General features: G+C 39.9%; 1 annotated feature.

The window, feature by feature from the left end:
• Window positions 369–961: an enhancer, noted in NCBI's record as "OCT4-NANOG hESC enhancer chr12:43379228-43379820 (GRCh37/hg19 assembly coordinates)". NCBI's record gives its function as "activates a minimal SCP1, AML or CMV promoter by ChIP-STARR-seq in naive and primed H9 embryonic stem cells {active_cell/tissue: H9 hESC(naive and primed)}" and the evidence as "EXISTENCE:reporter gene assay evidence [ECO:0000049][PMID:30033119]".

Genomic DNA, 15,720 nt, shown 5'->3' on the forward strand with positions numbered 1-15,720 from the left:
CCTAAAATCTCTGCCCACCACGATCACCTGGGGAGCTTTATCAAAATATAAATATCCAGCCCCCACTCAGAATAAACACTCAGAATCTTGTGGGGATGGTGGTGGGGCAGGACCTGGATAGTTTGAAAGATCTCCCCAGGTGATTCTGATGCCCTGTCAGGTTGAGGGACCACTCCTCCAGATGATAGACAACATTAATGAAATGAGAACAGCATTTTTAATGATGAAAAGGTCACCTAGCAACAAGGGAGAGATTCGTGGAGGGTATAAAGCTGAGATCTAGTGATGGTTAGTTTCTTTAGATCAGTATTCCACTTACACAATCAGCTTATCTAAGTTGGATTTTTTTTCTATTTTTCTTTTTTTTTTTTTTTTTTGCCAACTGGAAATATTTATAGTGTTAATAGTGGCAAAGGAAGCATATAAATGTTTCTGAACCCTGGAGTAGGGAAGCTGAGAAATGGCTTTTACTTCAGAAATGAGTCTAAGGGATAAGGCTCCCAGAACAAGAAAAATGGAATTGATGAAGAACTAGCTTATCTAACTTGTGGGTTGTTGTGTGAATAAACAAGGGAAAATACAGACCCAGCTGCTAAGCTCTTTTCAGCATTCTTGCATTGAGCTCCTTGTGATGACATTGCTTTGAGAAAGACTGCAGCTGAGTGCTATTTAAATACAAAGGCAGCCACCTCAGCCACCGAGATTAGCAGAGTGCTGTGTTTGCTGTGAGTGGTGGTTGGTGCTGGGGGTGGAGGAGATGCAGGAAGAAGCTGAAAGATTTAAGAGGAAATGGAGGGCTGGAAATCACTTTGGGGTCTGATAAAATTTGAGGAGAATAGATGTTTATATGGAAAAGGGGTAGGTTCTTTTTCATTTCTAGTTTTCTGAGAATGACAATCTATTAACTGCGTTAACATTAAAATGTAAAATTTTCATTTAGAAAGAATAGATGTGCCAATATGAATTCTTTAGTTCCACAAATCTCCTTTGAAACTGAAAACTGGCAGAAATGGAGCTGAACTTTTGTTAAAACAAGTCATTTATATCAGAAGTGGCCCACTAATAGCAAAACTGGGGTTACAGAAGCAGTTGCAACTTTTGCAGAAATTGGATAGGTGGTAGCTGAAACTGGTTTTCCAAATGGAAAGGATCAAACCATTTGGATGCTATAGAGGCACTAACAGAAGGACCTAAATAAAGTCTTGCTCTGGGAGCCTCACTCTAAGTCCCTTTAAAGTTATGCCACCGACAGAGGAGATCAGTGGTGATAGGAGACAAACAGCGCAGGGCCTCGGCTATTTTCTTTCTTGCAAACAGCCCTAATTTGGGTTCCCCAACTCCTACCCCTTCCCCTATTCTCCAAAGTATTTATGGCTGTTAGTTTGCTTTTTAATACTGCGAACTTTCAAATGTAAGATCCTAAAGGAATAAGGACTGTTTCATTTGAATGTTGTCATGTATGTTTCCCAAGATAGTGGGAACTTTGAGTAAATACTAATAAACTCAAAAGTTTACATTCACCACCCTAAACTTGTGCTTTAAAACACATTCCATTATATAAGATTTCTTGGAAGAGATTTCTCGCAGGTTTCAGAGAAACTTCTAAGACATTTGACACAAGAATGAAAAAAATGAAAAAACAAACAAAAACCTTTGCTAAACACCCAGGCTTCCTCGTAGGGGGCATTTGTGCAGAGTTGATATGCAAAATGATCAATGATCAAAATCACACTGAGAAAGCCAATTTGAAACCAATTTAATAGAACTTAAATTCTCTCACAGGAAATGTGTTTGGGCTTTTGGCAAAGGGCATGAATCTAAATCTCATGGATTTTTATTCATTACGAGAATGCTATTTGACTTGGTTAACAAGTATTTGAGAAAATATCTGAAAAGCTGACTAAGTTTTCAGGGCACTAGAATATTATTGGGAGATCTGGTAATTTTCTGCAGTTCTGTTACCCTCTGACCTGAGCAAAAAAGCATTCAATTCTGGGACATAAGCTGCAACCCAGTAGCCTAATGAATAATGGTATCTGAGCGATAAATAAATGTCAGAAATAACTGAACAATCATGACTTACAAGCAATAATCTGATTTAGAAAAATATTAAATTAGGATCTAAATGGAAAGCGGTGTTTAAACATTTCCATTTGAGAGACCCAGATTGTGCTTTGCTAAGTGGTGTTGGTGGGCAAAGGGCATTTGTTTCTGCCCTGGCAGGAGTGTGATTGATGCCGCTGCTTCTGCAAGCCTAGTAACCAACTATTATTACAGCAGCTCTGAGGTTTGTCGCTGGGCTGTGCAAACAAATGATCGACATCTTGTGGGAATGGCAGTAAGTGGAAGGGCCTCGGTGGAAAACATCGTTTGTGAAATAAGCTTTTCAGTCCAGAATTTAGCTACCGAGAGTGTAAAAACAAAGGTCTTTGCAAGAGAGACAGTGAGCAAAGCATGATGGATAATCTCGGCCATGCACGTAATTGCTTCCAGGTGTCTGGCCACTTTATTACTCTTGGGGTTATGCTACCACCCTGACAATGTTTTCTTTCTCAAACACGATAACTCCTCAGAAGGCTGGTGCCAGCAGTTACTGTTACCTACCTCACTCTAGGTTGACTCGATTAGGGCCCAGTCTCTAGACAAACTGCCACATTAGGGAGATTTAATAAGGTGAGCATATAAAATGGAATTTAGGGAAACCCCATGAAAAGGTAGCTGAGAAGTTTGTTTTCTCCATGTGGGTTAAGTTGTATACTGCTAGGGCTATTGCCACCTTTTTGAAAGGCAGTTTTTTTCTCCTCTGTGTGACATTTTTAAACAAAGTACATGGCTTTCTTTTTGTTCAACTGGTTGGATTTCTAATGCCATTTTTAAGGATTTTTGGTATCCACAATTTAGTGTTTAATAATTTAATTCCCATGCAAACAGAGTAAAAATATAAGGTGTTCTTGCCTGAATGACAACACCTAGAAATAACAACGTTGAAGCAGTGTTCTTAACCACCTGCTTTTCTAGGCTAGGGAAAATAATCACAAAAACTTAAAAATAACATACCGTATTTCATTACTAAAAAGCTTGTTCCGACAATAATCAATATAAATTCTGATGTCCTTTACCTTCTTTGATATAGACAGATTTAGGAGTTGTCAAAAATTCAATATCTGATTTGCTATAAAAAGAACAAAATCTTGTAAATGAAAATAAATACTATGGACATTTTGTATCTATTTACAGTTTTTCTCCCCACAGTATCTCTAGAATCCATGGAGAGAGAGGGAATTTTTTTTTTTAAATTGGAAGTAAATAATAAGATTTGATTAAAATATGGCATACAAGATAAATATGTACAATAACTCCTCTAACTTATTTTAACTTCAGATAGTAGTTGACTGAAAACATCCTCGAAAGAAACATATATAAAAGAAACATATATATATCTATACATATATTCAGATTGTAGTTGATAAAAGTAGATATTACCTTTAGATAGTAGTTGACTGAAAACATCCTCAAAAGAAACATGTATAAAAGAAACATATATATATACATATATTTATATGATATTATTTTATACTTTGACAAAAGCATTTTTATACTTTTTAAATTCTGACAAAAAAGTCATCAAACAATAGAAATAATTTTATGTTTATTAAATTGTTTATTACTCTATTATTTTAAACAAATTGATCCTTGGTCTTCAGAAAAATTATTTCATACTATACACTGGTTGGCATGTACAAGATGAAGGTTCTGCCCTTGGGGCACAGGAAGACAATTATGTTTTAGAGCACTGCAGTTTGGACCATCAATCATTCATTTTTTCACAAGTATTTGGGTCCTTTTTCTCTTTTTGACCTTATTTCATATATTTGCAATTCAGAAATGTGCTCAAAGTTTGGCTTTTATATGTAAAAATTTAAATATATTTTTACTCACATGGCTCAAACAAATTTTACACTAAAAATGAATTGTGTTGGAATATAGAGCTAATTCCCAAGGAGGCACTGAAGCATCACTATTGACCTGGGTGAGGCCCAGATGTGTCTGTACACCAACAGGGGTATACGGCGTAAAGCAAGATGGTTATTAAAAAATGTAATAGCATGAGAATTCCAATGCATTTTAATAAACTCATCTTTCTACAGTTTAAGTTAATTTCTTCTACAAGAATACATGTATATGTATAAAATGGTCCTCCTTCTTATTAAAAAGATAATAATAACCTTTCACTGTGAAAGTGTGCCAAGCAAGAGGCTTTTATTTTTTTACAAAGCAATTTAAATGGGGACCCAGAGTAGACCATTTCACATGATATTTACAACTTCACCAATTTTAATAATTTATCTACATTTATTTTACATTCTCCATGACTGAATGGTGAGTCTAGAATATGGCATGAATTTTGCCCCCATTTACTAGGCCATTCTTGCTGGGAAGGTCTCTTTTACTCTGTAGCCATTTAAAGGTTTCATTCTGTTTCTCTTGAACCTACCCTTTCTTAACCATCTCTTCCTGTTTCTCTTAGTGATAGAAAAAAAAAAAATAAATCATCCCGGTAATAACCTCCAGTTCCTTCCCATGAGGGTTCTGCAACCTCCCTGAAAATAGAGCCAACACCCCTGGGCCCCTTGACGTGCTTGAATTTGTAGTGTGAACCCAGCATAGGGCCTTTCTCTGAGAACCTTACCTGAAAAAGTGTAGTGAAACGTTCAGAAGGAGCAGTCAGTGGCTCTAGTGGGAAATGGCCCAGGACAAAAAGTCTCCTCTTCATCTAGGGACCTGGAAAGGCTTTCAGCAAAGAAAAAATATTATAGGATTATTATTTTTCTCTCAAAGGTGTCAAACATTCTAGAAGAAGACCACCAGAAAACAGGTGAGAAAAGCAAAAGCTTTATTGCTCATAGTAGGAAGGTCAGTAGGAGAGCAAGACTGACCCTACCTTCTGGTTGTTAGCAGAGGTTTGAGATGTGACACAGGCATTTAGGTCTCGAGAAAAGGGCACAAGACACAGCGATATAAGAAGGGGTGGATGCAGGGATAACTGAATAGTTCTGCTTTCAGAAACACGTTCCTAAGCCTGAGCCAGTCAGGGAAAAGAGCATTCTGTGATCATTGGCTCATCAATAATATGACTAGGCCGGGCACGGTGGCTTATGCCTGTAATCCCAGTACTTTGGGAGCCCGAGGCCAATGGATCACTTGAGGTCAGGAGTTCGAAACCAGCCTGGCCGACATGGTGAAACCCCGTCTCTACTAAAAATACAAAAAAATTGCCAGGCATGCTGGTGGGCACCTGTAATCCCAGCTACTGGGGAGGCTGAGGCAGGAGAATCACTTGAACCTGGGAGGTGAAGTTTGCAGTGAACTGAGATTGCACCACTGCACTCCAGCCTGGGTGACAAAGTGAGACTCCATCTCCAAAGAAAAAGGCAATTTGGGCTTGAGTCTTACAGTTCTTTTTACCTATAGGTTGTGAGAAGATCTGAAGCTGTTACCATGACACTGAGTCTTGTCATGCCAACAGGATGAGTACTGTCCCTCAGGCAGTGCTCTGTCCTGCTGTTTCCTACCTCTGAGACTTGAATCTTGCATCTTCTCTGTTTCTAAAGTCCTCCCTCAACTTCACCTACCCAGACCTTAACCATTCTATGTGGCTTAGCTCAGATGTTATTTCCTGAAGTTTTCTCTGATTATGGCAAGGACTGCTATCTCCTTTTGAAGTCTATATGGTTTGACTGTAATGCTATTATTGCATTTCCCTCCTATTGCCTTCTACTGAGGTTATTTGTGTATTTATCCAAATCCTTTATTGGATTTATAATCACTTAGCAGAGAGAAAATTCACATGTGCCAGGCAGTGGGTTACATACTATCTGTGCCTAATCTCCTTTAATCCTGGTGAAATCTTTCTAATCTACGCATTATTGCCTTCATTTTTAAAGTGAAGAAACTGAGGCTCAGAGAGTTTGAGGGACTTGCCCAGGTCCCATGTTGGTAAGGGGTGGAATGGGGATTTGCACTTAGGTGTGTATGACCACAAAACCTAGGCTCTTTCCCACCTCCTTATGCTGATACTCTTAGGGCAGGGATTGGAACTAATTTTTATTCTCTGTAGGAACTGTTAGATATTTGTTGATTTAATTAGTGATCTTAACCAGTCATGTGGCATTTGGCTTTGTCGATATTATATTCTGAAATTGTTGAAAATGGCATTAAAGAGGAGTAAATCTTGAATTAGACATTGGGATTCATTGATTCCCTGTCATTTTTGCATTATAGCTTCCAGTGGTAGAGTAAAATGATGAGGAAATGATCTATTTAACCCAAAGTCCTTAAATTTATCCCTACCCTTTTATTGCACTTTTAATATGAATGAATTAAAGAATTTTGGGGAGCAATTAGTTGATTTCAAATACCAATAGCAAGTAAGAGACCTGGTCTTCTGATTTTTCTTGATCTCATAACAGATTAAATGGATATTGAACTCTGGGTCATCCTGAAAGCAGACAATGTACATACATTTTGTCTGGAGTCACTATTTCTAGGGAGGAGATCATTTCAAGTTCTGTTTAGTGTAATGTCCCTGGAATTGTCTAGTGGTCCATTTTATGGAAACCTGTTGAGGTTAATATAAAAAACTGCAACACAAAAGGTGCCTCAAGGTGCTCTGTCTGCTAACAAAGTGAGTGAGCTCAGTGGAAGAGAGGCAGTAGGCAGCTGGAGACGACTGAGGTAACATAGAGGAGTCATGTGGCTTTGGCAACCAGGGAAGGAGGGTAGCAAGAAGGTCAAGACAACAAGCTCGACAAGGGTAGAGGCTAAGTCTCTCTTGTTCATTCTTTTAATTCCTAATACCCAGCAATTTGCTTGACACAAGGTGCTCAAAATCTAGCTGTTGAATGAAGAGTGATTAAAAGCTGCCATGAAACTGTTTTTGCCAAAATATCAATTATGCTATATAAGATGTGAATAACAGGCTGTATTATAGGGGACCAAGAGACCCCTTATTTGTGAACACTAGTGAGACATTCTCAGGATTATCCTGAATTAGACTGAGGGAATTTGGGGGCTGAGGAGCAGTGATTTTCCACAGTAGGACTAAACTGGAGATTAATGTTTCTTTTCCTCTGATCCCATTATTGCCCCAGGTACTTATGGCCTGAGAAAATGTAATATACCTATGTATTCATGCTGAGCTTTATACCATAGGAGATGGCTTACAGGATAACAAAATGAGTTCTTTTGGAAACTGCATTGTTATTTTCAGAGACCATTTAGTAAATTATCATTATGATGATTTTCAAATGTCAAATAGGTCTTATTATAGCTAGAAAGAGTTAATGTAACTTCCAAAAATCCTTTACATAGTCCTAGGGGTTAAGATAGTCCCAGGTTGGCTGGGCGCGGTGGCTCACGCCTGTAATCCCAGCACTTTGGGAGGCCAAGGCGGGCAGATCACGAGGTTAGGAGATCGAGACCATCCTGGCTAACACGGTGAAACCCCGTCTCTACTAAAAATATAAAAAGAATTAGCCAGGTGTGGTGGCGGGCGCCTGTAGTCCCAGCTACTCGGGAGGCTGAGACAGGAGAATGGCATGAACCCGGGAGGAGGAGCTTGCAGTGAGCCGAGATCGCGCCACTGCACTCCAGCCTGGGCGACAGAGTGAGACTCTGTCTCAAAAAAAAAAAAAATAGACCCAGGTTAAGCTATTTCCAAATTTAGTTTATAAGCACAAGACAATATATGTGGTAAAAGATTTGGAGATATTATAAAATTATTTAATTTGGCCATGATCTTAGCTCCAGTTTAATTTACCTTCTACAGCCTGGTATAATACTCCTAAGACTGCTGACTTTGAATTCCATTTTGAGCTTGCAAGCCTTTTAAAAAACCTTATTTCCTTAAAAGGAACAAGAAGCCCTGTTTTTGTCCCTCACAGAGGAATTTGTGCAGGAAACAAGGAGGTAACGGGGTTAGTTATTTGAGGCAGATTCCTTCTGTGTGCAGCAGCATTCACTGAATTGCATCTGAGGCTACAAAGACAGTTTGCTTAAAATAGGTATAAGAGCTTTCTGTTGATCCTAGAGAGCAAATGAAATCAAGAGCACACCATACATCTCCTGCATTTCAGAATTCCTAGAAGACGCTTCTGCTTTTTCTTATTGGGATGTGATGTAAAAATTTGTGGTGAAAGGCAGATGTTCTTAATTAGCACCTTGAAATATTGCAGATAGCATAAAAGTGTGTACATTTGGTAGTAAGTCCCTAAATGAACTTGAGAAGCAAAGACATATTTTGAGGGGAGAGGAATGGAGGGCCTGAGAAAACGAAGCTTGGTTGGATGAAGAATGATCCTAATTCTCAGTTGATGAATATGGTCCTTGTTTCCAGAGAAATTACATTTATCCGCAGGAAAGAAGCAAGTAGAGCAAATCTCAAACTGGAGACGTGGTTTCCTTGGCTCCTAAGGCTGAAGGCAGCAGCTGGAACCCAGCACCTGGTGTGTCCCGAGCAGCTGGATTTTCAACGGTTGTCACCGCATTGCATTCAGAAATGGAGGTTTTGGGAGTTTTTTGTTTTTGTGTTTTTTCAACATTGTCGCTTAAGTCAATACGGGTGTCCAAGGTTTCTGACAAAATGGCTGCAGAATTGTCCTCCATATAGCTTTGGTGGACTCGGATCATCCATTTATCCATTGTTTAAAAACAAAACATAGTCAAACTTGTAAAATGGTTAGGACTTGTATCAAGTCTAGATAAGCAGCCTAAAAGTTATGAGGGAACAAGGTCAAGGCTTTGAGGACAAAGGCCAGGCTTCCGTATAATGCCAGGTTCCATGTAGCAAGAGGCAGAGTGGGAATAAGATAAAACATGAACAAATGAAGGTTGTCCATGTGGAGAAGGACGGACATGAACAAATGAAGGTTGTCCATGTGGAGAAGGACGGACATGAACGAATGAAGGTTGTCCATGTGGAGAAGGACGGACATGAACAAATGAAGGTTGTCCATGTGGAGAAGGACGGATATGAACAAATGAAGGTTGTCCATGTGGAGAAGGACGGGAGAGAAAATTCCCGGGCTGGCTGCTAGAGAAGCCACACCAAAGCCTTTCTTCTCTACTTCCTGAGGAAAACTGACTTACGCCTTCTGTGATAGGATAATACTTTGGATTTACATAGAAAAAAAACACCCATTCCACAAAATATTGACAATTAGACGAACTAAATATTTTCTCAAAAATTTTTATGTATAAACATTTCTCTTAAATTTACAATATAAACCTTATAAAAGCAAGAACTGTGTTTCACTCACCACTGCATTCCCAATGCATAGGACAGTATCCGGTAAATGCCAATTAAAGGAATAAAACAGAAATGAAACTCTCATGCACCAGGTACTGTGCCAGACGCTATGGACAAACACAGCTCTGGCCTTGAAGGGTTTATAGGGAATTTAGGGCATATCTACAAATAACATATGCAAAGTAGAAAGTGGTTCAGAGGAGACTATATTTAATGAGTTTATGGTGAGGATGGAGTTTCCCTCATGGGTGGGAAGTGGGGATAGAAAAGGGAAGACCCTGTATGGTCACTTATGTTTAGTGTTAACTTTACAGGTTGATGTGGGGCTTAGAAATGGCAGAGATGGACAAAAAGATGTTCCACGCCAAAGAAAATCTGTAAGTAAGGAGATTTTAGAAGGTGTAAGGGACTCTGCATGGCTCATTTCAGCTAAAGTGAAAGCTACTCGATGGTGATCATGAGAAGTGAGGTGGGGAATGGGAATCAAGATAAATGGATGGAGGCTCTGGAATGCCACAGAAAAGAAAATGGGGGCATTATTCCATAGGAATCATGGAGAAGTATTGAAAGTTTTGGAAAAGGAGAAATATGGTCAGGGTTGAACTTTCGGGAAGTGAATTTGACAGCGGGATAGGTGATAAATTAGAGGAGCATGAGGCTGGAGGCAGCTAGGGAGCCCTTCATGGGGCTCAGGCAAAAGGCCACAAGCATTTGGACCAGAGTAGAGGCTATGAGCATGAAATGTGGAAGCAAATGTGAGAGATGCCCCAGAGGGAGGGGCCCTTAGTGCAAGTGTTTGATGCAGAGCTGGAGATGTGAAGTGGAGGTTCGGGAGAGAAATCCGGATCAGAAAAAGATTTGGAAGCCATTTGGACAGAGCTGTGAGTTGAAGCTGTAAAAATTGAACCAGGCACCAAATGAGTGAACAGTAGAATAAACAGAGAAGGAAAGATCCTTTAAGGACACTTGAATTTATGGAGACAAATACAGAGGAAGGACTGGAGAAGAATGCAGAGAAGGGATTTTCAGAAACATAAGAGAATGAAGAGTATGCATTAAGGAAACCATAGGGAAAGGATTTCAAGAAGTCCAATAGGATCTAGTGTGGTGAAGAATGTAAACTGAGGAAAAGGCTCTGTCAACAAAATGTTCACCAGAGACACTTAAGAGAGAGGAGTACATGACAGAGATGGATTGAAGGTGATATTGCATCACTGACAGTGAGAAAAGCTGGCAGCAATACAATCCACTAATTCAGGAAGTTTTGGAGATTAAGAGCAAAGAGATAGAGTAGGGTCTTGATGGGGTGCTGAAAGAATTGGGGAAAAAACTTCAGGATAGGACAGGCTTGTACTGCTTATTTGATGAAGGAGAGGAGAGAGGAGGAAAGAAAGAGGGAAAGCGAGAGAAAAGGAGAGAGGAAGACAGGAAGGGAGGGTGAGGGAACAGGTGGGCATTGAGGGAGAGAGAGAGAGAATATTTGATGCTGTAAGGTAACAGGAAGAATAAATGTCCTTAGATTGTTAAAATTAAAAATATTCTGAAATCTCCTAACATAGTGTGTAAACAATGCAGACGAAAGCTGGAGATTAAAGGGACTTTACTACTTCAATTCGTGTGTGTGTGTGTGTGTGTATGTGTGTGTGTGTGTGTATGTGTGTGTGAAAGAGAGAAAGAGAGAGAAATGGAAAACTGGAGGGAGCACTTGGGAATATCCTGGAATCATTAGACATTTTTATCTTTGGTTCTTTCCAGTAGGGCGTGGAAAAGGGGTTCAGAAAACAGACATCCGATAGTTTATTGTGTATAGAATGTTTACCTGAATTCTGCTTTTTGCTAAGGCCTAAATTATGTTTTTGCAGAAGATCTTTTTTCTTGTTATGTTCTTATCATTAGTTGAGTGGAGTGTCCCTGAGGGCTTCTAGTCGCAAGTTTGGAAACACAGACCTAGACTTTTTTCTTTTTTTTTGAGATGGAGTCTTGCTGTGTCGCCCAGGCTGGAGTGCAGTGGCACGATCTCGGCTCACTGCAGTCTCTGCCTCCGGGGTTCAAGCGATTCTCCTGCCTCAGCCTCCCGAGTAGCTGGGATTACAGGCGCCCACAACCACGCCCAGCTAATTTTTGTATCTTTAGTATAGACGGGGTTTCGCCCTGTTGGCCAGGCTGGTCTCAGAACTCCTGGCCTTAGGTGATCCGCCCACCTTGGCCTCTCAAAGTGCTGGGATTACAGGCATGAGCCACCATGCCCGACCAGACCTAGGCTTTTGATTCCAAAGTACAGAAACTTAATATTTGAAGGTGTGGTCATGATCTGCTTATTCATGTGAATGGCCCAGGTTACAATGGCCCAATCTAGTCATTTTGTACCTTTCAAGGGCTATTTCCGTTTGTTTCTGGGCATGGGTTTAGTCTGCTGCTGAAAATGGAAGGCAGTGCCAAAATTACACGCATATTCATAAACTATAAACAAACACACAATTATACACACACAATCTGACACACCTCCTATAATAATAAACTGAAACCAAAGGCACCACACAAAATACTTTTTTGCTTTGCTGGCAGAGTTTGTGGAAGAGTTTTTGTACTACAGGGCTCAATTTTCAGAGTTTATTACAAGTCCACAATTAACAAGAGTACATACAAAAGAATTATTCTCAGATGTACTATTGCAGTACTGTTTGTAACTCAAATATGCACTATCTGGGGCTTTGTTTGAGGTTGACAATATAGGACTTATAATAGACCTGGTTGAGTTTTCAACATATTCTTGGAAAAGTTCTTTTATTTGCTTTTTAGCATACATGAATCTTTGCAATTTGTTCTCCTGTTTGGACTGTATAAACAACATCAAGATGCTTTTTCTATTCATTCAAACAAACAATGACTTTGTAACTAAGAAGAAAATTAGTAACAGGTGAAAGTTTATTTTTAATGACGTTGATATCATATTACTGTTTAACTTACAGAACAAACTTCCCCATGTCTCTTTAATGTTTCAAAATTATTTACAAATTAAACTTAAACAACCTCTAAACGTGCTCAGAGCATAAAAATGGCAGCCTCTTTATCCTGTATTACTAACAGAATACAAAGGATATTGCTTTGTTCTGATTTTTTTCTTTGCAATTTATTTTTAAAACATCTTGCATTATAAAAATTTACATAAAGCTGTCTTGGAGATGTTTTATTTTGTACTTGTATGTAAATCAAAGTTCTGTGCTTGGAATTATGTTTCTTTTAAAATCCATACTAATATTTGCTTTTATTAGCTGCATTTTTATATTGTGTACTGTATATATTTGTTCCTGTTCTATTTCATTCTTTTAACATGATTTTGTCTTTTGGTGACTCTTCTTTGTAAGTGTTCCCTTTCACTGTTGTAAATCTACAGAGCTTTTTATTTTCTTTTTTTTTTTTTTTGAGATGGGGTCTTGCTCTGTGCAGTGGCACAATCCTGGCTCACTGCAACCTCCGCCTCCTGGGTTCAAGCGATTCTCCTGCCTTAGCTTCCCGAGTAGCTGGGACTACAGGCACCTGTCACGATGCCCAGCTCATTTTTGTATTTTTGGTAGAGATGGGGTTTCACCATGTTGGCCGGGCTGGTCTTGAACTCCTGACTTCAGATGATCCGCCCACCTCAGCCTCCCAAAGTGCTGGGATTACAGGTGTGAGCCACCGCAGCTTCTAATAATCAATGTAAAAAGAATATTTATTAAGTGTTAAATCCTCCCTACCCCTTCGTCTTTCTTTAAAAAGTCATAGTGTCTAGCATCTATTGAACTACATAAGATCTAGTTTTACTTACTATGTCCCTAAATCTGTTACAAATTTGTATTGGAATAGTCAAATTTTGAATGATTTTATTAATGACACCTTTATAAAACATTTAGACCAGAAGGAAATCTATTTCAGTTCAATACAAAGAATGTTTGAACAGTCAAGAGCTCTTTGGAGATGGGAATGGTGGCCTTGAAAGGTAGAAGGGATTGATGGATTGATGTTCCCCTGGGGGAGAAGTGTCCCTCTTAAATAAGATACTGAGGGAAATTGCCCGTGCCTAGTTGTTCTTGTTATGTGGGATGCTAAGAATCTTACAGTCTACGAGAATTGCAGACTTGAGAGTAATTCCACGATGGATCTAACTGAAGCAATGCGGGTTTTGAATACCAAAGTGTGAAAGTTTATTTGTGAATAGGTTTGAGGAAGGGAAAGTAGGTTTTTATAGCCTCGAAAATGACTTTGGTGACAAGTTAGCATTTCATTTTCTTTTGCTCCAATAGATTTTCTGTATCTTTTTGAAGGCTTTTACTTGTAAAAACTTTTTAAAATACATGTGAGTGTCTCCAAACTAAATATTTTTAACAGTCTCGTTTTTTCTCAAGTATAAAAAAAGTTGATTAGAATGTGAATTTGAGAGCATGACTTCTTCATCTAGCCTTTGTCATTCTTGTGTCATATTTTATAAATTCTTGTGAATAGTAAATTCTGCAAATACTGCCCAGATTTAGTTCAATTCCACTTAATAAACAATTTATTAGCTATGAGGTAGGTACAGTAATCATGTTAGCATAAGACCCAGTTTTATAATTAAGGATTTTGCATCCAGAGAGATAAAAAGTAGGTATGAAGAACCAAATGGCTTACTTTTTCTTCCCTTCTATTTCTCCATCAAATTCCCTTTCCTCTTCTCCCTCTCCACTTCCCGCTCCATGCACTGGGGAACTGAATGAGTAAATGCAGACTAGGGTGCCAAGGCTGGTTTGGGAGCAGTTTAGCTTGCAAATATGTTCTGATGCTGGAGGAGTCAGTGGCTTAGAGGAGAACCAGACCCGAGGGAAGCCTGCAAAATTCCTTTAGGCCAGAGAATAGGTTCAATTCATCCATCTACTGCCAGTGCCCAGCAAGTACCCAGCACCAACCCTATTGATTTAAGCCATAAATGGGCAGGACTTATCTCACTATCACTCTCCCACCTACTTTTCAAGAACCTTTCTTTTTCTCCTTTCTTTGGTGTAATCCCCACTATCATGCTTCTCAGGTAGTCTGTATTCTCTGATGGCCTTAAGCTAACCCAAGGCCCTCCCACACCTAAGCTTGATCTCCAAAATGCACTACCTTCTTCTACTCTAAGGAGGTTATTTGGGTTATTTCTGCTCTGCAATGAAGGAGTCCCAGGTTCCTAGGAGGTGTTTGCATTTTAAAGACAAATGCATTGATCAAGTGATTATCTAGCTAGAGTGAGGTGTTGGGTGACGCTAGTGGAGAGCATAGTTCTGGGTTGGGTAATCCTTGCCTGATCTTCTCCCACATTTGCTCTGCCTTACTTTGTCAAAATACTAAAATGTATGGAATCAGTGCTGCAGTTGCAGATCATGGACTGTGACTTTCTCCCACTTTTGCAGAGACACTGCATCTCAAGGGCTCAGAGAAGAAAGAGCTGCTACTTAGTTAGAGAGTGTGTGTTGACAGACTATCTATATCACACATATATGAAATCTAGGCTCCCAAATGTGGGGGCCTCTCAATTTTCTGGCAGCACAGTTCTAAGCACATTATTGGCATTGCTCCAGTTACCTATTGTTGCATAAAAACCACTGAAAATGGCTGGGCGTCGTGGCTCACACCTGTAATCCCAGCATTTTGGGAGGCTGAGGTGGGCAGATCACCTGAGGTGAGGAGTTCAAGACCAGCCTGACCAACATGGAGAAAACCAATCTCTACTAAAAATACAAAAATTAGCTGGGCATGGTGGCACATGCCTGTAATCCCAGCTACTCGGGAGACTGATGCAGGAGAATCACTTGAACCCAGGAGGAGTGGGTTGCAGTGAGCTGAGATCACGCCATTGCACTCCAGCCTTGGCAACAAGAGTGAAACCGAGTCTCAAACAAACAAACAAACCAAAAACTGAAATGTAGAGATATAAAACATCATCCATTTCACCATGCTCAGGATTATGTGGGTGAGGATTCACGTACAGCATAGCACTGTGATGTCTGGGGCCTCAACTGGGAATGGGAAGACGCAAATGACTAGGGGTAACTCAAGAGACTGGGAATGGAAGCACCTGGGGGCTTCTCCACTCATATGTCGGCATTTGGGCTGAAATACTCTAAGGCTGGGCTCCATTGGGATCGTTTCCTGGGACACCTCCATGTCTCCTCTCCACATGGGTTCCTCATAACACAGTAGCTGTGTCCCCAGAAGGAGTGTCAGGGAAGCAAATGTTCCAGGAGAACCAGGGGAAGCTGCATGAGTTCTCTCACCTCCCCTGGAAGTCATGAGGCATCATTTCTGCCACAACCTTTTGGTAACAACGGAGCTGGTTGGCCAGCCCAGATTGAAGCGGAAAGGAAGGAGATACCACTCCTTGTGGGTGATGGGATTTTCTGTGGAAGCATGTGTGGCAT

This window comes from Homo sapiens, chromosome 12, assembly GCF_000001405.40.
Source record: "Homo sapiens chromosome 12, GRCh38.p14 Primary Assembly".
In the NCBI taxonomy this organism is placed as follows: Eukaryota; Metazoa; Chordata; class Mammalia; order Primates; family Hominidae; genus Homo; species Homo sapiens.